We start from the raw sequence: 21,990 nt of genomic DNA, 5'->3' as shown, positions 1-21,990 counted from the left end.
TTCTTAATCCAGTCTATCATTGTTGGACATTTGGGTTGGTTCCAAGTCTTTGCTATTGTGAATACTGCCGCAATAAACGTACATGTGCATGTGTCTTTATAGCAGCATGATTTATAGTCATTTGGGTATATACCCAGTAATGGGATGGCTGGGTCAAATGGTATTTCTAGTTCTAGATCCCTGAGGAATCGTCACACTGACTTCCACAATGGTTGAACTAGTTTACAGTCCCACCAACAGTGTAAAAGTGTTCCTATTTCTCCACATCCTCTCCAGCACCCGTTGTTTCCTGACTTTTTAATGATTGCCATTCTAACTGGTGTGAGATGATATCTCATAGTGGTTTTGATTTGCAGTTCTCTGATGGCCAGTGATGATGAGCATTTTTTCATGTGTTTTTTGGCTGCATAAATGTCTTCTTTTGAGAAGTGTCTGTTCATGTCCCTCACCCACTTTTTGATGGGGTTGTTTGTTTTTTTCTTGTAAATTTGTTTGAGTTCATTGTAGATTCTGGATATTAGCCCTTTGTCAGATGAGTAGGTTGCAAAAATTTTCTCCCATGTTGTAGGTTGCCTGTTCACTCTGATGGTAGTTTCTTTTGCTGTGCAGAAGCTCTTTAGTTTAATTAGATCCCATTTGTCAATTTTGGCTTTGGTTGCCATTGCTTTTGGTGTTTTGGACATGAAGTCCTTGCCCACGCCTATGTCCTGAATGGTAATGCCTAGGTTTTCTTCTAGGGTTGTTATGGTTTTAGGTCTAACGTTTAAATCTTTAATCCATCTTGAATTGATTTTCGTATAAGGTGTAAGGAAGGGATCCAGTTTCAGCTTTCTACATATGGCTAGCCAGTTTTCCCAGCACCATTTATTAAATAGGGAATCCTTTCCCCATTGCTTATTTTTCTCAGGTTTGTCAAAGATCAGATAGTTGTAGGTATGCGGCATTATTTCTGAGGGCTCTGTTCTGTTCCATTGATCTACATCTCTGTTTTGGTACCAGTACTATGCTGTTTTGGTTACTGTAGCCTTGTAGTATAGTTTGAAGTCAGGTAGTGTGATGCCTCCAGCTTTGTTCTTTTGGCTTAGGATTGACTTGGCAATGCGGGCTCTTTTTTGGTTCCATATGAACTTTAAAGTAGTTTTTTCCAATTCTGTGAAGAAAGTCATTGGTAGCTTGATGGGGATGGCATTGAATCTGTAAATTACCTTGGGCAGTATGGCCATTTTCACAATATTGATTCTTCCTACCCATGAGCATGGAATGTTCTTCCATTTGTTTGTATCCTCTTTTATTTCCTTGAGCAGTGGTTTGTAGTTCTCCTTGAAGAGGTCCTTCACATCCCTTGTAAGTTGGATTCCTAGGTATTTTATTCTCTTTGAAGCAATTGTGAATGGGAGTTCACTCATGATTTGGCTCTCTGTTTGTCTGTTGTTGGTGTATAGGAATGCTTGTGATTTTTGTACATTGATTTTGTATCCTGAGACTTTGCTGAAGTTGCTTATCAGCTTAAGGAGATTTGGGGCTGAGACAATGGGGTTTTCTAGATAAACAATCATGTCGTCTGCAAACAGGGACAATTTGACTTCCTCTTTTCCTAATTGAATACCCTTTATTTCCTTCTCCTGCCTGATTGCCCTGGCCAGAACTTCCAACACTATGTTGAATAGGAGCGGTGAGAGAGGGCATCCCTGTCTTGTGCCAGTTTTCAAAGGGAATGCTTCCAGTTTTTGCCCATTCAGTATGATATTGGCTGTGGGTTTGTCATAGATAGCTCTTATTATTTTGAGATATGTCCCATCAATACCTAATTTATTGAGAGTTTTTAGCATGAAGGGTTGTTGAATTTTGTCAAAGGCTTTTTCTGCATCTATTGAGATAATCATGTGGTTTTTGTCTTTGGCTCTGTTTATATGCTGGATTACATTTATTGATTTGCGTATATTGAACCAGCCTTGCATCCCAGGGATGAAGCCCACTTGATCATGGTGGATAAGCCTTTTGATGTGCTGCTGGATTCGGTTTGCCAGTGTTTTATTGAGCATTTTTGCATCAATGTTCATCAAGGATATTGGTCTAAAATTCTCTTTTTTGGTTGTGTCTCTGCCCGGCTTTGGTATCAGAATGATGCTGGCCTCATAAAATGAGTTAGGGAGGATTCCCTCTTTTTCTATTGATTGGAATAGTTTCAGAAGGAATGGTACCAGTTCCTCCTTGTACCTCTGGTAGAATTCGGCTGTGAATCCATCTGGTCCTGGACTCTTTTTGGTTGGTAAACTATTGATTATTGCCACAATTTCAGCTCCTGTTATTGGTCTATTCAGAGATTCAACTCCTTCCTGGTTTAGTCTTGGGAGAGTGTATGTGTCAAGGAATTTATCCATTTCTTCTAGATTTTCTAGTTTATTTTCGTAGAGGTGTTTGTAGTATTCTCTGATGGTAGTTTGTATTTCTGTGGGATCGGTGGTGATATCCCCTTTATCATTTTTTATTGTGTCTATTTGATTCTTCTCTCTTTTTTTCTTTATTAGTCTTGCTAGCGGTCTATCAATTTTGTTGATCCTTTCAAAAAACCAGCTCCTGGATTCATTGGTTTTTTGAAGGGTTTTTTGTGTCTCTATTTCCTTCAGTTCTGCTCTGATTTTAGTTATTTCTTGCCTTCTGCTAGCTTTTGAATGTGTTTGCTCTTGCTTTTCTAGTTCTTTTAATTGTGATGTTAGGGTGTCAATTTTGGATCTTTCCTGCTTTCTCTTGTAGGCATTTAGTGCTATAAATTTCCCTCTACACACTGCTTTGAATGCGTCCCAGAGATTCTGGTATGTTGTGTCTTTGTTCTCGTTGGTTTCAAAGAACATCTTTATTTCTGCCTTCATTTCGTTATGTACCCAGTAGTCATTCAGGAGCAGGTTGTTCAGTTTCCATGTAGTTGAGTGGCTTTGAGTGAGATTCTTAATCCTGAGTTCTAGTTTGATTGCACTGTGGTCTGAGAGACAGTTTGTTATAATTTCTGTTCTTTTACATTTGCTGAGGAGAGCTTTACTTCCAACTATGTGGTCAATTTTGGAATAGGTGTGGTGTGGTGCTGAAAAAAATGTATATTCTGTTGATTTGGGGTGGAGAGTTCTGTAGATGTCTATTAGGTCTGCTTGGTGCAGAGCTGAGTTCAATTCCTGGGTATCCTTATTGACTTTCTGTCTCGTTGATCTGTCTAATATTGACAGTGGGGTGTTAAATTCTCCCATTATTAATGTGTGGGAGTCTAAATCTCTTTGTAGGTCACTCAGGACTTGCTTTATGAATCTGGGTGCTCCTGTATTGGGTGCATATATATTTAGGATAGTTAGCTCCTCTTGTTGAATTGATCCCTTTACCATTATGTAATGGCCTTCTTTGTCTCTTTTGATCTTTGTTGGTTTAAAGTCTGTTTTATCAGAGACTAGGATTGCAACCCCTGCCTTTTTTTGTTTTCCATTTGCTTGGTAGATCTTCCTCCATCCTTTTATTTTGAGCCTATGTGTGTCTCTGCACGTGAGATGGGTTTCCTGAATACAGCACACTGATGGGTCTTGACTCTTTATCCAACTTGCCAGTCTGTGTCTTTTAATTGGAGAATTTAGTCCATTTACATTTAAAGTTAATATTGTTATGTGTGAATTTGATCCTGTCATTATGATGTTAGCTGGTGATTTTGCTCGTTAGTTGATGCAGTTTCTTCCTAGTCTCGATGGTCTTTACATTTTGGCATGATTTTGCAGCGGCTGGTACCGGTTGTTCCTTTCCATGTTTAGCGCTTCCTTCAGGAGCTCTTTTAGGGCAGGCCTGGTGGTGACAAAATCTCTCAGCATTTGCTTGTCTGTAAAGTATTTTATTTCTCCTTCACTTATGAAGCTTAGTTTGGCTGGATATGAAATTCTGGGTTGAAAATTCTTTTCTTTAAGAATGTTGAATATTGGCCCCCACTCTCTTCTGGCTTGTAGGGTTTCTGCCGAGAGATCCGCTGTTAGTCTGATGGGCTTCCCTTTGAGGGTAACCCGACCTTTTTCTCTGGCTGCCCTTAACATTTTTTCCTTCATTTCAACTTTGGTGAATCTGACAATTATGTGTCTTGGAGTTGCTCTTCTCGAGGAGTATCTTTGTGGCGTTCTCTGTATTTCCTGAATCTGAACGTTGGCCTGCTTTGCTAGATTGGGGAAGTTCTCCTGGATAATATCCTGCAGAGTGTTTTCCAACTTGGTTCCATTCTCCGCATCACTTTCAGGTACACCAATCAGACGTAGATTTGGTCTTTTCACATAGTCCCATATTTCTTGGAGGCTTTGCTCATTTCTTTTTATTCTTTTTTCTCTAAACTTCCCTTCTCGCTTCATTTCATTCATTTCATCTTCCATTGCTGACACCCTTTCTTCCAGTTGATCGCATCGGCTCCTGAGGCTTCTGCATTCTTCACGTAGTTCTCGAGCCTTGGTTTTCAGCTCCATCAGCTCCTTTAAGCACTTCTCTGTATTGGTTATTCTAGTTATACATTCTTCTAAATTTTTTTCAAAGTTTTCAACTTCTTTGCCTTTGGTTTGAATGTCCTCCCGTAGCTCAGAGTAATTTGATCGTCTGAAGCCTTCCTCTCTCAGCTCGTCAAAATCATTCTCCATCCAGCTTTGTTCCATTGCTGGTGAGGAACTGCGTTCCTTTGGAGGAGGAGAGGCGCTCTGCGTTTTAGAGTTTCCAGTTTTTCTGTTCTGTTTTTTCCCCATCTTTGTGGTTTTATCTACTTTTGGTCTTTGATGATGGTGATGTACAGATGGGTTTTCGGTGTGGATGTCCTTTCTGTTAGTTTTCCTTCTAACAGACAGGACCCTCAGCTGCAGGTCTGTTGGAATACCCTGCCATGTGAGGTGTCAGTGTGCCCCTGCTGGGGGGTGCCTCCCAGTTAGGCTGCTCGGGGGTCAGGGGTCAGGGACCCACTTGAGGAGGCAGTCTGCCCGTTCTCAGATCTCCAGCTGCATGCTGGGAGAACCACTGCTCTCTTCAAAGCTGTCAGACAGGGACATTTAAGTCTGCAGAGGTTACTGCTGTCTTTTTGTTTGTCTGTGCCCTGCTCCCAGAGGTGGAGCCTACAGAGGCAGGCAGGCCTCCTTGAGCTGTGGTGGGCTCCACCAAGTTTGAGCTTCCCGGCTGCTTTGTTTACCTAAGCAAGCCTGGGCAATGGCGGGCGCCCCTCCCCCAGCCTCGCTGCCGCCTTGCAGTTTGATCTCAGACTGCTGTGCTAGCAATCAGCGAGATTCCGTGGGCGTAGGACCCTCCGAGCCAGGTGTGGGATATAGTCTCGTGGTGCGCCGTTTTTTAAGCCGGTCTGAAAAGGGCAATATTCGGGTGGGAGTGACCCGATTTTCCAGGTGCGTCCGTCACCCCTTTCTTTGACTTGGAAAGGGAACTCCCTGACCCCTTGCGCTTCCCAGGTGAGGCAATGCCTCGGCCTGCTTCGGCTCGCGCACGGTGAGCGCACCCACTGGCCTGCGCCCACTGTCTGGCACTCCCTAGTGAGATGAACCCGGTATCTCAGATGGAAATGCAGAAATCACCCGTCTTCTGCGTCGCTCACGCTGGGAGCTGTAGACCGGAAGCTGTTCCTATTCGGCCATCTTGGCTCCTGAAAATCAGGTTTATTTTTTAATAATGGCTGTGCTTTACAACATAAGCTCTTGCAAGCCAATATGAACAGACTACAGTATTTCACTGTGGCAGGCTGAAAGAATGGCCCTCCAAAAAAATATTCACTTCCTAGTCCCCAGAATCTATGAATACTACCTTAAATGCAAAAGACTGAATAGTATTTTATTTGGTGAAAGTGATATCTAAAAATCCTGAGAGTAAACTCTTACCCTGGATTATGCGGGTGGGCCCTAAATCTAATAACAAGTGAAGTGTCCTTGTACGAGCAAGGCAATGGGAGATTCGACACAGACACACATGGAGTGGAGAAGGCAATGTGAAAACAGAGGTAGGGATTGGAGCAATGCAGCCACAAACCAAAAAAACAAAACAAGACCGAGTGCGGTGGCCCATGCCTGTAATCCTAGCACTTTGGGAGGCCAAGGCGGGTGGATCATCTGAGGTCGGGAGTTCAAATCCAGCCTGACCAACATGGAGAAACCCCATCTCTACTAAAAATACAAAATTAGCCAGGTGTGGTGGCATATGCCTGTAGTCCCAGCTACTTGGGAGGCTGAGGCAGGAGAATCACTTGAACCCGGGAGGTGGAGGTTGCAGTGAGCCGAGATCTCACCATTGCACTCCAGCCTGGGCAATAAGAGTGAAACTCCATCTCAAAACAAACAAACAAACAAACAAACAAAAAAGGAGGAATGCCAGGCAGCCAGCACATGCTAGAAGAAGCACGCGACAGATTCTCTCCAGAGCCTCAGGTGGCAGCATGAACCTGCCAACACCTTGATTTCGACTTACCCCCAGAACTATGGTTTTGAACCACCCCACTGGTGGAAGATTGTCAAGGCAGCCTGAGGAAATGGTTACGGGCCTGACGTTTCTTCTCACATGGACCTCAGATATTTGCCTTGTCCTTAAGCAAACCAAAACCAATGGCTGCCTTCTTTGCAGAGATTTCTTCCTTTGGATTAAAAGCTGGGTTAAATCTCCTATCCTTCCTAAGTCTTCCTATCAGTCTCCAAACACTCCTTTTGGAGGGACTTACATAGTTCAGATTTTGCTAGAATAAGCTGTTTGTTTAGTTCTCAAATACACTGTAGAATGATTCCATCACAATTTCCAAATTGCCTGGCATTTTCATAAACTCTGGAGAGGCTCCACCTTTTCCTTAACAGCAAAGACTTGAAAAATGTTGTCCCTGGACCAGCAGTGCCAGTAGTACCTGGAACTTGACAGAAATGCAGATTCTTAGGCCACACCCCAGGCCCACTGAGTCAGAAACTCTGAGGGTGGGGCCCAGCAATCTGTGTTTCAACAAGATCTCCAGATGATTCTGATGCTGGCTCAAGTTCGCAGCTGCAGCCACAAATGGATGGTTTCAGAGTCTGCTCAGGCTCTCAGACGCAGCAGCAGGCCAGGGGACCCAGGATGATGTCTGAGAGGTGGGGTGGGGCTAGCCCAGAGCTCCTGCACTGAGGAGGTTGCTCAGGGCTCCAAGCATGTGAGCTGCACACTGCAGGAATCAGAGCACAAGGAAGACACCAGCTCCTGCCAGGAGGGGCAGCCCCTCCAGCCTGGGTAGAGCCCTGCCGTCCAGATGGCTCAGGCTATGGGAACTTCTGCCCATTCTTCCAACCGCGACTCTCGTCCATCGGAGCACTCACTCTCTGGATCAGCCACAACCTCTCTGGTGCCTTTGAAACACAGAGTGCCTGGGGGTGCAGACAGAGGAGGATAAGCACTCATGCTTCCTACTTCCACTCAGTTGATAATAGTCTGCCCAGCACGGGCCTACAGTATGGCAGAAGTCAGTTAAACCTCAGACCACTGAGGCACGTGGGCTGGCTCCTCACATCCCTCCAGCCTCATGGGGGATGAACGGGCCAAGGAGCTGCTTGGCTTCCTTCCAATCTCCAGGCTCCCAACCCAACTCAGGGAACCCACATCTGACATTCCACTCAGGGTGGGGGCCGTGGCTAGGGGAGGAGGAGCATCGCATTCACCCCTCCAGGGGAGAGCCATCGCCTGCATCCTTGGCCAGGCCTTTCTGGACTTCAGGATCCTTGTCTGCAGAACAAAGGGGTTTCAGCCAAGTCAGGATGACTCAAAGTGCATCTTGAGGAATGCTGACAGACGTTACTTAACGCCTCTGTGCCTCATCTGTAAAACAAAGATAACAGCAACACAAAGGCCACAAAAAAACCAAAGGAAGGGCTCTTTGACAAAATAAGTTTAGGAAGGGCTGCACTGAACAGGGCTCTGGCCTCAGGACCACAGAGCCTTCAGATGCTGCTGTGGCCACATCGCCAAGATGCACCACACCCAGGGCCTCCACCTTGGAAACTTCTGAAGTCAAAGATCTCAGGATCCCTGAAGCATCTGTCCAGCATCACGGGTAAAAATTTGCTGCTCCCATCTGTGTGGCCTCAGGCAAGCCACCTCTCTTTTTTCCCTCCCCGCTACCTCTGTCATTTGTTCCTTATCTGTAGGGTAACCATAATCAAATTGGGGTTGTTGTTAGTCATTCATGAGATAAGATGTGTAAAGCCCTTAGCATGAGTTATTACAGGTCTGTCCAGAATCCCATACTCAAACCCTGGGGGCCAGATGTGATTCAGAATTCTGAATCTCTCAGATTTAGAAAGGTAATATGGTTCACATGCCGTGCATTATGCAGTGCCCTCAACAGAGTCCGAGGTTACACCCAATAACCCAACACATCACTATTTCTGCAGTAAGTTGTATAAATATTCACACTGAGTGGGACATGAGTTTTAGCACCAAACATACAAAAAAGCTTTTGATTTTCATGCTCTGGGGAATTGCTGGTATCGCATCTAGAAGGTTGCGAACCTGTGTTACTATCTTCAGCTCCTCTAGCTTGGAAACCATCATTTTTCTTGGAGCAGCCCATTCAGCTGGGGATGCAGGAGGAGCAGGTTGGACCTGGGGTGAGGCCTGTCTGGCAGCACGGAGGCTGGCAATTGTGATTGCCTCAGCAGAGCCTCTGAGGCTCATCTGTCTGAATCGGAGCAGAACCCTCACGGCACCCCACCCACTGCAGACCCATGGCAGCTCCAACCCTACAGACTCTTCTACGCTTAGTGGGAACATACTGATTCCCAGCTGTTTGCTTCACTTGGCACATGGTTCTCATTCCAGAGGGAATGGCTGGGTGAACAGCAAGCACTGAGGCAAAGAGGCTTTCTTGAAAAGGATAAAAGTGGATGAAGTTTCCAGTTTGCAGGAAAGACACAGCTAATAGATTAGGCAGACTTTAACAAGCCAAGAGCCAAATGCATGTGAATGTGCTTGGCCAGGAGTTGCAGTTTGCGGCTCCCTGGACTAGAGAACCAGCCCTGCCACATCTTTAACAGAAAGTTCTTCTCCTGCTAATCCTTCTGAATCCAAAGGGATTAGCAGAAGAGGAACTGTCAGGGTGGCTGGGCTGGGGAGTGTGGTGGGAAAAGCGGTGGTCTTGGAAGCGAGACTTGCTAGCACAGTTCCTGATGGGTTTGAAGTCCCACCCTTCTACCTACAAGCTGGGTGACCTTAGGTACGTTATTTAACCCCTCTGTGCCTCATCTGTAAAATGGAGAGAGTAACAATCACACCTCCCCATGTTGTTGCTGTGAGGTTAAATGCTTTGATCCATGTAAACCACCTATCCTAGGGAGTCTGCCCTTCTCCCCGCCCCAGGTAGGAAGAGGTCAGTGTTGATGGGAGTGCCTGGAAATGGTGTCCTTCCCAGATAAGCTAAGGAGGGAGAGCTGGGTCCTATGCCACAGTGCTACAAGTGGCTGCTGTGCACTGGGCAGGCTGAGAGGGGCCACTCCGTATCTGCCCATGTGCCCCCACTGTCTATGCTGAGCAGACCTGTTCACATCAGCACACAAAAGGGCTTGGTGCAAGCTGGGGCCTTGCTCACTGACAGGAAGAGTCTGGCTTGGTCTTTTCAAAGAGAAACTCTACATACACACACACACACACACACACACACACACACACACACACACCACAAAACCAGGCAACCCTGCCAGGCAGATTTCCCCTCCTTTCTTAGGCGGCCACCTCTGCCCCATTTCAGTGTAAAGGAAACCTGCTCTCAGAATGTGGCTCAGTTTGCCTACCCTTCCAGCTGCCGGGCCAGTGCCTTCACCTGGATTACTAGTTAACTTTGTTTAATTCTTACAGCCAGGCAGTATGGAAATCAACAAAGACCACCCAAGGGAGAACAGACAGAGGCTTGCTACGGCAAGGGGGTCAGCACCATCACTTGCATTTGGCAGGGACTCCAAGACAGGCAGGGACTGGGAAAGCTTTATAGTGAGAAAGAAAGGGAAGGCTCCAGGTGCACCCTGATTGGAGGCTGCTGGCATGAGAGACACTGGAGATGGGCAAACTAGAGGTGGGGCATCCTAACTGATTGGTTAGGGGAGCATATTTGGCTTTCTCTGATTGATCCTGAGTTGGAAGTAGGGACAAAAATAAGGAAGCTGGCAGTCACTGACTAGGTCTTCACCCTACTGAGCAGATGCTACAGACATTGTGGTTGGTTCTCTGAGCTGGTTGCTACAGAGGTGGTGGATAGAGTTTTATTATTATATGTAGTTTGGGCATTGTCCACTTGCATGTCAGTCTCTCGGTGGTGAGACAGGATTAGATCTGTTTTATTTCAAAGCGGCTGGTTAAGTCACAAAGTAGAATGAGCCTCATCCTAATGTGAGAGCTCCACATTATGTTTTGCAATGAAATGTTTCTTTGTATTCCTTTCTTCTTGCCATTTTCTAGGATGACAAGTGTCTCACTCCCACCTCTGGCTGAGTGTAGGTCTACCAGGCAGAAGGCAAAGCAGAGACTGTTAAACAGAAACTGGCTGAGGCCTAGAGGAACAGCATCACTTGATAAGGGTATCCTTGGAAAGAACTGAGAACACAGGAAGAAGAGAGGAGAAAAGACAAAAAGTCAAAGTCAAATAAACATTGGTGACCTTAAGAGAAATGCCTGAAATCTCTAAATCCAAACTCCCTTTTCCAAGGGCCTGAGTCTTGCCCAGGACACTTCTACATTTCCACGCCCACTGAATATGCCAGGCATGTTGGTTTATTGCAGGCCCCTGTTACCTATCTCCTACATTAGGTTGTAAAAGATCTAGCAAAAGGCACAGGGCCCAGATGGTTTTATGGGAGAGTGCTATAAAACTTTTGAGGAATAAATGGTTCTTATTTAAACTCTTACAAAGCATTAAAAAGATAAAATAAAATTCTGAATTTATTTTATGAGGTATGTTTAAATTTAATAGTAAGACAGCCATGGAGTGCCCAAAAAGGAAAACCTTATGAATGTATATGCAAAGATTCTAAGTAAAATATTGGCAAGTTAAATTCTGCAGTTCCCAAAATACTAACATACCTCAGCCTAATAGGTTTTTTCTGAGAATGTAAAGATTATTCAGCATTAGAAAATAAAGGAGAAAAACTATATGCTCAATAGATATTGAAAAGAGCATTTAATAAAATTCAATCCCCATTCTTGATTTTTGAAAAATGGTTTTAGTAAGCTAAGAATAAAAAGAAACTTCCTTAACTTAATGAAAGATATTTATCAGAAATGATTTCTTTAAACCTGACAAAACATAATAGAAACCACAGAGGTGTTCCCATTAAAGTCCAGAATAAGATGTGGATGCCTACTATTGTTGCTATTATTACTCAATTTTCCTCCAGAAAGCTCCCAACCTAAGTAATAAGACAATAGAAATAAATGAGAGGAGAACACACACACACTTATGAAATATAAATGTAAAATTATCATTATTTGAAAATATTATTTTCTACTTAAAAACTATAAGATATGCACCTAAAATTCTATCTAGAAAAATCTAATCAAGAAAAAGAACTCATTCTCAATAGGAGTAGAAATTGCAAACTATCTTTAAAATGAGCTTATTTGCTGAAGAAAACATTAAAATGTTACTAGAGGCCGGGTTCGGTGGCTCATGCCTGTAATCCCAGCACTTTGGAGGCTGGGATGGGCAGATGCTTTGAGCTCAAGAATTCAAGACCAGCCTGGGCAATATGGCAAAATCCCATCTCTACAAAACAATACAAAAATTAGCTGGTCGCGGTGGTGTGCACTTGCCGTCCCAGCTACTCAGGAGGCTGAGGTGAGAGGATCACTTGAGCCCAGGAGGTTGAGGCTGCAGTGAGCTGAGATCTTGCCACTGTACTCCAGCCTGGGTGACAGAGTGAGACCCTGTCTCAATAAACAAAAAAATGTTGCTAGAGATTATCAAAGAATAGGTGGATTGATAAACCTGAATGAGAGCACTCAATATTCAAATAAGTCAGATTCCCACTAATTATAAATTCTATATAATCACAATCAAAACACCAATGGGATTTTGAGGATAAAAGGAGAGGGGTGGCATGCTTCATAGACTGACATTATCACATGAAAGACAAATGCACAAAAATAGCAAAGGAAAAAACTAAAGTAGAATAAAAATATGGGAACTCAGCCTACCAGACAGCAAAAAAGAATAAAGTAACTTTAATTAAAACACTGTCATACTAATGCAGGAACTGAAAAATAATATCAGAACAGAGTTCACAAATGGACCTCTGTGCATGTGGGAACCTAATATCTGATAAAAGTATACTTTCACAGCAGTAAAGAAAGAATGGACTATGAAATAATGTTACAGCAACTAACTATCCATTTGAAGGGAAATGAAACTTGTTAGATCCCTAACTCACACCATTCTCTGCTTAAATCCATATAAAATATAGGTTTTATATATTAATTTAGAGGGAATATATATGAAATATATGAAAATATATAAGAAATACTATATAATATATAAGAAATACTGTATAATACTAGAATAAAACACAGATTATTTCAATAATCTTGAAGTGGTGACAGCCTTTCTAAGAAGGCATGAAACTCAAAAGACTTAAAGGGAAGGATAAACAAATTTGACTACGTGGAAATTAACATTTTACACTTGGCAAAAGACTATAAACAAAGTTAAGAGACAAATTAGAGGCTGGAAGAAAACATTTATACCAAGTCAGCAGAGAAAAGATTGATCACACTTATTAGAGTCAAAGATTTCCAACAAATTAACAAGCAAAGGGCAAACATCTTAAAACAAAAAGACAATGCAGAAAAGAAAATACAAATGTCTGGCAAATAAGTGGAAAGATGACTTCATTCATGATTAAGGAAATGCAGCTTTTAAAATCGGTTTTCCTCCTAAATAGGCCAAAAAAAACCCAAAAGTCTGAGAATGCCAAGTGTTGGTGAAGGTGTAGAAAAATAATCAGTCTCCTACCCTCTTGGGAGAAATGTAAATTGACACCACCATTTCAGAGAGCAATTTGGCAGTTTCTCTCAGAATACTGAATGCCCATACCCTTTGCCCCAGAAATCCCGTACGGAAATCTACCTCGCAGAAATACTTGCACGCCATGCAATCATGTTCATGGCGGCAATGTCTGTAATTGATGAAAAATTGGAGCTACTTAAATGTTCATGATTATGGGACCAGCTAAAGAAAATATGACACATCCCTGCCTTGGAATTTCATGCAGTCACCAATAAAGATTGGGTCAATTCAGATGGCTGATACAGAATATAGTTAATAAAGTAAAAATATAGTGAGTTGACAAAGCATGACCACACTTTCATTTTTTAATTTGCATGTAGTGTGACCATGAATAACACACACACACATACACACCGCTAGGGAGTTTGTGGGACTTATGCTTTTTGTCATATGCTTCTATTTTTTATGGACTTGTTTTTACTGAGCATGTATTACTTTTAGACTTTTATAATTTTTTAAACCAAAAACATAACTGAGTAATAATTGAAAATTTAAAGTCTATAAAGACAAACGCATTATGTTTCATTTCTTAAGCCTGAGTCTACTTTCAGCCAGAGCAACTCCAGGCTGCAAGTGCAGTTCTATGAAGATTGTACCTTTATTAGGTTGGTCTCAGGTATTGCATGCAGGCGGGCACACATGCCACCCACACCTACACACCTCTACACACACACAAAGTTCTCCCACTCTGCATATGCACGTGCATCACACATTTTTACAGTTTCTTGAGCAGCTCACAGAACATTTTCGAATGTATTTGTTGGTGCAAGGGAATAAATAGCCAGAGCCGAGAAGGCAGAAAGGGACGCTTTGAGATTGAAAACCCCATACTACCTCCACCATCCCAGGCAGGTGAAATATCCCGTGACATCCTTGTGCCCCTCTGGCTTCTGGCTTTTCCCATTTGTCCTCAAGATGAGTGAGCCCAAGAAAATGTGGCCATCAGGATGGATGCTCATTGACTCAGGGCTGTGTGCGGCTTATGGGTCCTCGTCCCTGAAGAGTGTGAGGTTGTGCTTTTGGATGTGTCCCAGCAGCACCTGTCCTCGCTGCTCCAGGGTCTGGAGGACCTGCTTCAGCCCCTGGGCTCCGCCTTGGCTTTCCCAGAACACTGGGTCCATCTGCAGCGACTTCAGCAGCATGTTCTGTAGACACCCTGATGCGAGAACCTTCACGGCAGACTCAGGAAACCTGGAGCAAAGGCCCCAGAGCCCCGTAACAGAAAGAAAAAGCAACAGTAATCTCAGAGAATTTCAGTAACAGGTGATGCCAGATGGCCAGAGCTTGCATAGCTGAGGAACTCTGGTAAAGTCACCTGGCAAACTCCCCAGACCTGCACCTGCTATCTCACTAACAGAGGACCCTTTGCCTGGCTTTGCTGTGAAGGCAGGGGACAGACCTTTCAGATGGGTCCCATCCTACAGAGAAGCCAGGTGAATAAATTCCGCTATCCCAGGCTCCACTTGGCAAATGCAGGGCCAGAAAGAATCCTGGGAAGGCAGAGCTGCCTGCCAAGAGTGAGCTGGGAGGGGTAGACTCTCTGGCCTAGCTCTCTCACCCAGAACAAGGGAAGGACTAGCCTTCCCACACCCCAGCAATACAGCTAGTATTCTGCAGGCACGAGGCCCTCTGGATATTGGGGTAGGCCCTGCCAACTGTATCCCCTCTCAGCTTTCCCAGGGCTCCCCACCACCGCCTAAAGTTCTGATCCAATAACTTCTGTCTGATGGACTGTGGGCTTCTCAGGGCCACAGTTGAAGGTCCCAAGGTTTGCAGCAAGGCCATCAGGTCTCAGTCCCATGAACTTCCACCCAACCCTTTTGACCCTCACCCATCTATGCCCTCCAGCAGCCGAAAGTTCAGCTTGTCCTCAGGGTGCTGAAGGTTGCCAGCGTTATCGATGTAGACCAGGTGAGATGGATCGCTGCTCCGGACCTCAGGGAAGAGGGTGGACAGAGACAGAGGTGGGTAAGGGTGCAGCTACGGCTGGCACCTATGGACTTGGTCAAGATTAAGGGGCTGACAGCCCTGAGCTGTCAGTCCCACAGTCCATCCTAACAAACAGTCCTCACCGCTGAGTGCTTACTCTATGCTGGGCACTGTGCTAAGTGCTTCCAGACATCCTGTCAATTAATTCTCCCAGTAACCTTAGGAAGCAGGCACTAGTGTTAGCCCTATTTTACAGAAATGGTGGCACCTTCTTTAAGTTAAGCAATTTGCACAAAATCACACAGCTAGTAAGTAGCTGGGCTGTTTCAAACCCGGACCCATGGGGCTAAGCCATAGCACCATCTGCTAAATCGCAAGGCCAAAGGACTGATCCTATTTTGGTGGCTGAAGGGGTGAGGAGCAAGGGTGGGAATCAGCAGTTGCCAAGGTAGCCTGCTCCTCGGGGCCACCGGCTGTGAGGGGCATCGCACATGTGCTGCTCACATGTGTACACACACTCAGTCACCCCTTTGTGCCACCTGTGCCTGTGCACCTGGGCATCCCCCTGAGCATCACTGAGATCACAGACATATCCTTTATCCTCAAAAAGCACTGACCATAATCTGATTCTACAGAAGAGTTTAGCAGCTCCTAAACCTTTTCAAAACCAAAATCAGCACCAGAAAATTCTTTAGTACCTTAAAGAATATGGTGTGGTTGCGAATGGGAGGCCATCTCTTCTGGTCCCCACTCCCATGCATGCACTCCTTTCCCAAATAGCCTCCAAAAGTCCATGGGCATTTCCCACAATCCTCTCCAGTGGCCTAGGCTTAAGCTATGAACTTCTGTTTCCAGGACTCCAGCTTCCCTTCTCTCTGCCTCTTCTCCTTTCTCACCCCACTCCACATGTCAGGATCACCTTTTGCTCAAAGCCAGGTGACTCTTCCCTCTGGAAACTGCTGTCCTAAAAGATCTGTGAAATGCCTGCTCACCAGGGGTAAACAATGGCTATTAAAACTTTGTCTCTCCCATGGATATTTACCTTTGACCAGGGAAAAGGAGAGATGGCTCTGGGGGTAGGGGAGGAGAATTCCCAGCACCACCACTAAGCAATCCTGGGCTTCGGGTGATGCGGCCTCCCTGAAGCCCATCCCTGGACACCATGCTGACAGCTACCCTCTAAGAGCAAAGGGAGGCTGTGAGGACACTATGCCTCACTGCAGGAGAAGATAGAGAAGCCCTTCCCCGGGGGAAGCACCTTGCTTCTTATGCAGAAGAAGTGGCTATTCTGCCCTCTCCAATGGCCTCGGCACATTGCTTCCCACCCTGGACTCTAGTTTTGACAGGAGCAGCACCAGCCTGTGAGCCACTGCAGTCTTGGGTTCATGCCCTAATGCTGCTAGCGTATGGCCTTGAAGATTCCTTTCCCTCCAGACTGCAATTCCTCATTTACTGGCACAACGAGGATGTTGACTAGACACACCATTCTCAAACTCTACTTCCAGGAGCCCTAGTTGTTCCCTGGAGTCTCTTAGGGGCAGTGGAGACAGTGAAAACAAGGCTCCAGCCCCCACCCCACACCCCTCCTCAGGCACATTCTTAAAGCTCCATTTTGTCAGCTTTATATATTGCGGACTCCTGGAAATATTCAAACAACTGGTTCTGCTGCTGAAAAGAACAAGACTGGGAAACCCCAGCATCAACTGATCTCTGAAACTTGTTAACAGCATCTTCTGAAGGACACAGAAAGACCTGGGTCTGGGGTGACAAGGGGATGGTGTGGAGGAGACGTACCAGGATGTGGACCAGCCGCAGCTCGGCTGGGTTCTGGCATTTCTCTCGGAGCCTCTCTTCCACACAGGGGTCTGAGGGCTCAGGCTCGAAGCCACAGCAGTAGCGATCCAAGCGGTCGTGGACCTGTGGAGACACCCAGCCTTCGGTGGGGTGCGGCAGGGGGCCTGCCTCCACCAGGCATAGCATGGAGGCCACCTGACCTGCTGTTTCCTACATGACCCTGGGGCCACAGCAGGGGTGACCCTCACTGGTTCTCTGTGCTGGTCATTACTAAATGGGGCTTCCGCTTTCCTCCTCTGGCCAGATCACTCTGCGCACCAGGAGCTGTTTGCTCATGCCTCAGGCCAGTGTGGATTTTCACCCAGTGCCCACAGCTTAACCTACACTGTTGCTCTTTAGCTCTAGCCTGGCACCTCTGAGGCTCTGAATGCTGACCGTCTGCCTGTCTACCTAGGGAGATTCCACATCACTCTATTTTTTCTTTAAGCAGCAAATGCTACATCAGGGATTCCTCCTTTCTTTAGAGGTGCAAGTCCTTCAATGATCATCTCAACAGCTCCAACTGGACAGCTCTTTCACCCTGCAGCAGGCCTGAATCAAGCCAGGGAAAGAGGAGGACATCCTCAATGTGGTGTGCAGTCAGTTCTGAGGAGCTTTGCCACCCTTCCCCTGAATAGACACATACAGATGACACCCACAGCATTTTAGAGTGGATCAGAGGATTCCTAGAATCACACTTCCCACTCACTTGCTTCCGGGATGCTTTCTTCAGAAGGAAAGGTGCAGCCTGAAAGTCAGCAATAGGAAGAATCGTGGGTCTACCCCAGCCCTGACCTACATGAGGATAGTATCTGCTGTAAGTATCTAGGACAAAGAGGTTGAGGATGGAGAGGCATACAAGCAAGAAGTGGTAGAGTCCTCTGAGGATGGTTAGGGGAGGGCTTGCTGTGGGGAGAAAGACAGGAAAGGGAGAATAGTCGAAGTGAGGAGTTGGTTTGGAGAAGGTTTGGGAGATGCTAGGAAGTGGATGAAAGATGAAGCGAGGGCGGCTGAGCAGTAGGGAATCACCATCACACACAGGATGGGCAAGCCGGGGAAAACTCATTCTATTTTCCTTTTATGAAGGAAACTTGGTTTGATGCAATACCTCAATGAATGCCTAGGGTAGAAGGTGAAATCCCTGGAGGTCTGGGTGAGGGAGGACTTGCATTGCATGGGACAAGAAGAAAAGTTAGTTTCTTGCTGTGGAAGGAGGAGGACAGAGGAATAGAGAAGGTGAAGGGAAGCAGGGAGCAGCAGGAGGCTGGGGCTGAGATGTGCCCTTCCACAAGTTCTCTGTCCTTCAGTGAAGCTGCCGCCCTTGTGAAATGTTTGGTGGATGCTGAGCTTTGAGTTCAGGTTTGGTGTGGGGCAAGTCAAGGTAGTGCTCACGGCACATGAAACAGAAAGAGTCCATCTACTCCTTGGGATTTGTCCAAATCCTAGGAAGGGCTCCAGACCCCACAGGTTATGGGACTAGGGGTTTTAGTCGTTTTCTTAAATCTCCCAGATGGTGGTGAAAGTCAGTGGGGAGGCCTTGAGGATCTCTGGGATCTACCAGTCAGGACAATGACTGGTAGGTATCTAACTCTCAGGCTGCAAAATGTACTAAGTTCCTAAAAGAGCCTGGTGTGGGGAAGACCTAGATTGGACACTCTGATCCCATCTTTGCAGAAGGGCTAGTCTGAATTAGAAAGCCTGGGAACAACACTGGAGAGGAAGACATCAGCCTGGGAACCTGGAAACTCAGTATGAAGGGAGCAGAGCAGACCTCATTGCAAGAAAATTGTCATTATCTGACGTGTCTGGTGATTCCCTGGTAAACTCCACTAAAAGGCATGGTTTTTTGGTTGCCCGGTACTAAAAGCCTTCTCCTGGAAGGGTAGAGGACATTTGTTGAGAACATTTACTGGCAAATGTTTCAACACCATGGCTGTCTGAGACAATGGATAACAATTGGGACAAACAATAGATTAACCAAAAAGCTTTAAAAGGAAAAGATAAGAAATGAAATGTCCAAGGGGCTGTGAAAAGCTCCAATATGTTCCTGGAAATCTAGAAAGCCACATGCACATGTGTAGGACTGTGCACATGTTCAGGAAAAAACTGAAAATACCCTAAGCTCTCACCTCTGGTTGACCTTGAGACTATACAAGCACAAATGAAGGCAAAAGCAGATTTGTCAATTGCATACATACGTGTTGGAGATGCCTCAACACACACACAGAGTCCTTTGGCAAAGACTAGGAGACTTACTGGCTCCGGAAATTCATGAAAATCTCCTGCTCAATCATCAGCTGATCACTGAACTAACTGAGCAGAAATTTCAGTGGCCATATACAATAAAGAATACAGATGACTATAGAATTTGTTCATAAAAATAAAACAAGCAAATAAAGAAAACCACTACAAACAAAAACAACTACAACAAACAGCAATGACAAAAATCCTGGGGAAAAGAAGAATCTGATTTTCAAAGTGGCCACCTTATATTATTTAAATACTCAGTTTTCAACAAAAAAATATGAGACAGTCAAAGAAACAAAGTATGGCCAATATGCATGAAAAAAGTCAATCAATCAAAATTTTTCCTGAGGAAGCCCAGACATTAGATAAAAAAATTTAAATTAGCTATTTTACATATGTTCAAAGAACTAAAGGAAATCAGGCCTAGAGAAGTAAAGTATGAGAACGATACCTCACCATAAAGACTACATGAATAATGAGATAGAAATTATAAAGAGAAACCAAATATAAATTATGGAGTTGAAAAGTACAACAACTTTTAAAAATTCACTGAGAGGATCGAACAGCAGTTATGAGCAGGCAGAAGAACGAATCAGAAAACCTGAAGATAGGTCCACTGAGATTATCAAGTATGAGGAATAAGAAGAAAAAAATGAAGAAAAATAAACAGTGCCTCAGAGACCCATGTAACACCATCAAGTGTACCAACATATATATAAGAGGAGTTTTAAAAGGAAGGGAGGATGATGTGAAAATAATATTAGAAGAATTAATGTCCAAAACCTCCCCAAATTTGGTGAAAAGCATTGATCTACACGTCCAAGAGGTCCAGTGAACTCCATTAATATAAACTGAAAGAGACCTACACCTAGAATAAAACTGTCAAAAGCCAGAGAGAGAATCTTAAAAGCAGCAAGACAGAAGTCACTCATCACATAAAAAGGATTCTTTCAAAGAGTAATTTGATATCAAATTTATCAAAAACCATGGAGGCCAAAAGGCAGAGGAATAACATTCAAAGTGTTGAAATTAAATTAAAAAAAAGAGAGCCTGTCAACCAAGAATTTTATATACAGCAAAACTATCCTTCAAAAATTAAGGAGAAATGAAGACATTAACAGAACAACAAAAACAGAGTTTATTGTCAGCAGGCTTCTTCTACAAGAAATACTAAAAGGAGGACTTCAGGTTGAATGAAAGGACACTAAGTAGTAACTTGAATTAATGTCAAGAACTAAAAAGCTCTGTTCAAGGTAACTACATAGATAAACATAAAAGACAGTATAAATGTATTTTTTTTTGTTCTGGACTTCTTTTTTTCCCCTCTGATTTAAAAAAAAAAACTGCTGAAAGCAATAATTATAATCTATACTGATGGGCAGAAAATGTATAAAGATGTAATTTGTGACAAGAATAGCATAAAAGTGGGGGGGGAGAGATTTATATAGAAAGAAAGTCTTTTTACACTATTGAAATTAAATTGCTGGTAATCTGACCTAGATTGTTATAAATCAAGATGTTAATGGTAATCCCAGTGCAACTACCAAGAAAATAACTACAGTTCTAGTCACCAACTAATCTCACAAAACCAGATGTTAAGAAATGAGACAGCATTCAATAGTCCCAAGTACTGTCCCCAAACATTATTTTCTGTTTTATACAGTTAAACATGGAGAAAGCACATCTCAGGTCTAGATAGGCTGAGGGCAGTAGACCAAATGGATTAAATATATCCACTGATTCTAGTAAAAAAAACAAGTTTAGCCCAGAGGCCAATGCACAAAGCCCAGAAGATTGGTCCAGCTTGGCAAAGAACCACAGCCCTGTTCATGCGATAAGCCAATTAGCAAGACTTCCTGAGGAGTACCCTCTTTACTGCTTTGGCCTCCTGAACTTTGGGTAACCAATATTCAATTTTTCTTCTTTCCTCTAATACCCTATTATAAAAAATTTCAAACAGCAAATTTGAAATAATTTTATGGTGAATATCCACATACCCATTACTAAGATTCTACCATGAATATTTTATTATGCTTACTTTATGACATATCTATTGATACATCTCTATATCTATCCATTAAGTCATCTTATCTCTTATTTTTTATGCATTTCAAAGTAAGTTGCAGACATTAGAAATTTCCCTCTAAACACATTGGCATGCACACCACTCATTAGAGTTCCTGGTTTTCCTGTAAGAGAATCAATCTTCCCTGCTAGATACAGTCTGGTGGCATCAACAATCCAAGTACCCTGCACACCCAGCCATGAAGTGAGGATGGGGTCCAAGCTCCCCTAACCATATACCCTCCATCCTTCCCCTGACTCTTCAGGCTTCCCAGGCCTTTTTCTTCCATTCCTTGAAGCCCTTAATGTCTTACCAAATGTAGATTCTTTTCTTGCTTATGTTAACCAGAGTTAGTCTCTGTTGCTTGGAATCAAACTCCCTCCAAGTGATGCGCCCCCTGAATTTTCCTTCATCCAGGTTAAACACACTTGGGTTCTGAAACTATGGTAGATGCTTTTGATGCTCTCCATCCATGAACCTAGGGCTCACCTACAGAAGGTCCCAACCATACAGTCCCCATATGTAGAGGTACTCTTGCCCATAACAGGCTTGACCCACCCATGCAGCAGGCAAATGTGCTGGAAAATAAATGCCTCCAGGAGCAAGCTTCAAACAATGACTTATGGCAGTTAGTGTACAAGTATCATAGCCCCTCACCTCCCAGGGGAATGATACCCCACAGCAGTGTTCTACACAGTCTGTCAAGGGCCCTCATCTGGGTTCAGCCTCACTTGCCCATGGTGGCAGCCTGCTCTTTACTGTACCCTTCATTAGCTTTTCTTCCTTCCCTGCTTCACTTCCCCATTTGCTCACCAGGTTTCCTAGGACCACCTCCCAGATAAATTGCTCTATTCAAATTCTAGTC

At 44.2% G+C, this 21,990-nt stretch overlaps 1 protein-coding gene across 1 annotated transcript in view, besides 1 other annotated feature; it reads right to left on the bottom strand.

The window, feature by feature from the left end:
• Nucleotides 7,324-7,843: an enhancer, noted in NCBI's record as "H3K27ac-H3K4me1 hESC enhancer chr3:43104067-43104586 (GRCh37/hg19 assembly coordinates)". NCBI's record gives its function as "activates a minimal SCP1, AML or CMV promoter by ChIP-STARR-seq in naive H9 embryonic stem cells {active_cell/tissue: H9 hESC(naive)}" and the evidence as "EXISTENCE:reporter gene assay evidence [ECO:0000049][PMID:30033119]".
• Nucleotides 12,703-21,990, bottom strand: part of GASK1A (golgi associated kinase 1A) — a 78,405-nt gene continuing 69,117 nt past the window's right edge. The window contains exons 3-5 of the mRNA NM_001129908.3: nt 16,775-16,897; nt 14,883-14,986; nt 12,703-14,242 (exon numbers count right to left, since the gene is read on the bottom strand). Of these exons, the coding sequence (NP_001123380.2) occupies nt 14,032-14,242; nt 14,883-14,986; nt 16,775-16,897 (438 nt within the window). The 3' untranslated portion in view covers nt 12,703-14,031. The remainder of the gene's footprint in view (nt 14,243-14,882; nt 14,987-16,774; nt 16,898-21,990) is intronic.

Source organism: Homo sapiens, chromosome 3 (genome assembly GCF_000001405.40).
Source record: "Homo sapiens chromosome 3, GRCh38.p14 Primary Assembly".
NCBI lineage: Eukaryota > Metazoa > Chordata > Mammalia > Primates > Hominidae > Homo > Homo sapiens.
Note: the sequence above shows the minus strand (reverse complement) of the source record. Positions and strands in the feature narration are given on the sequence as shown.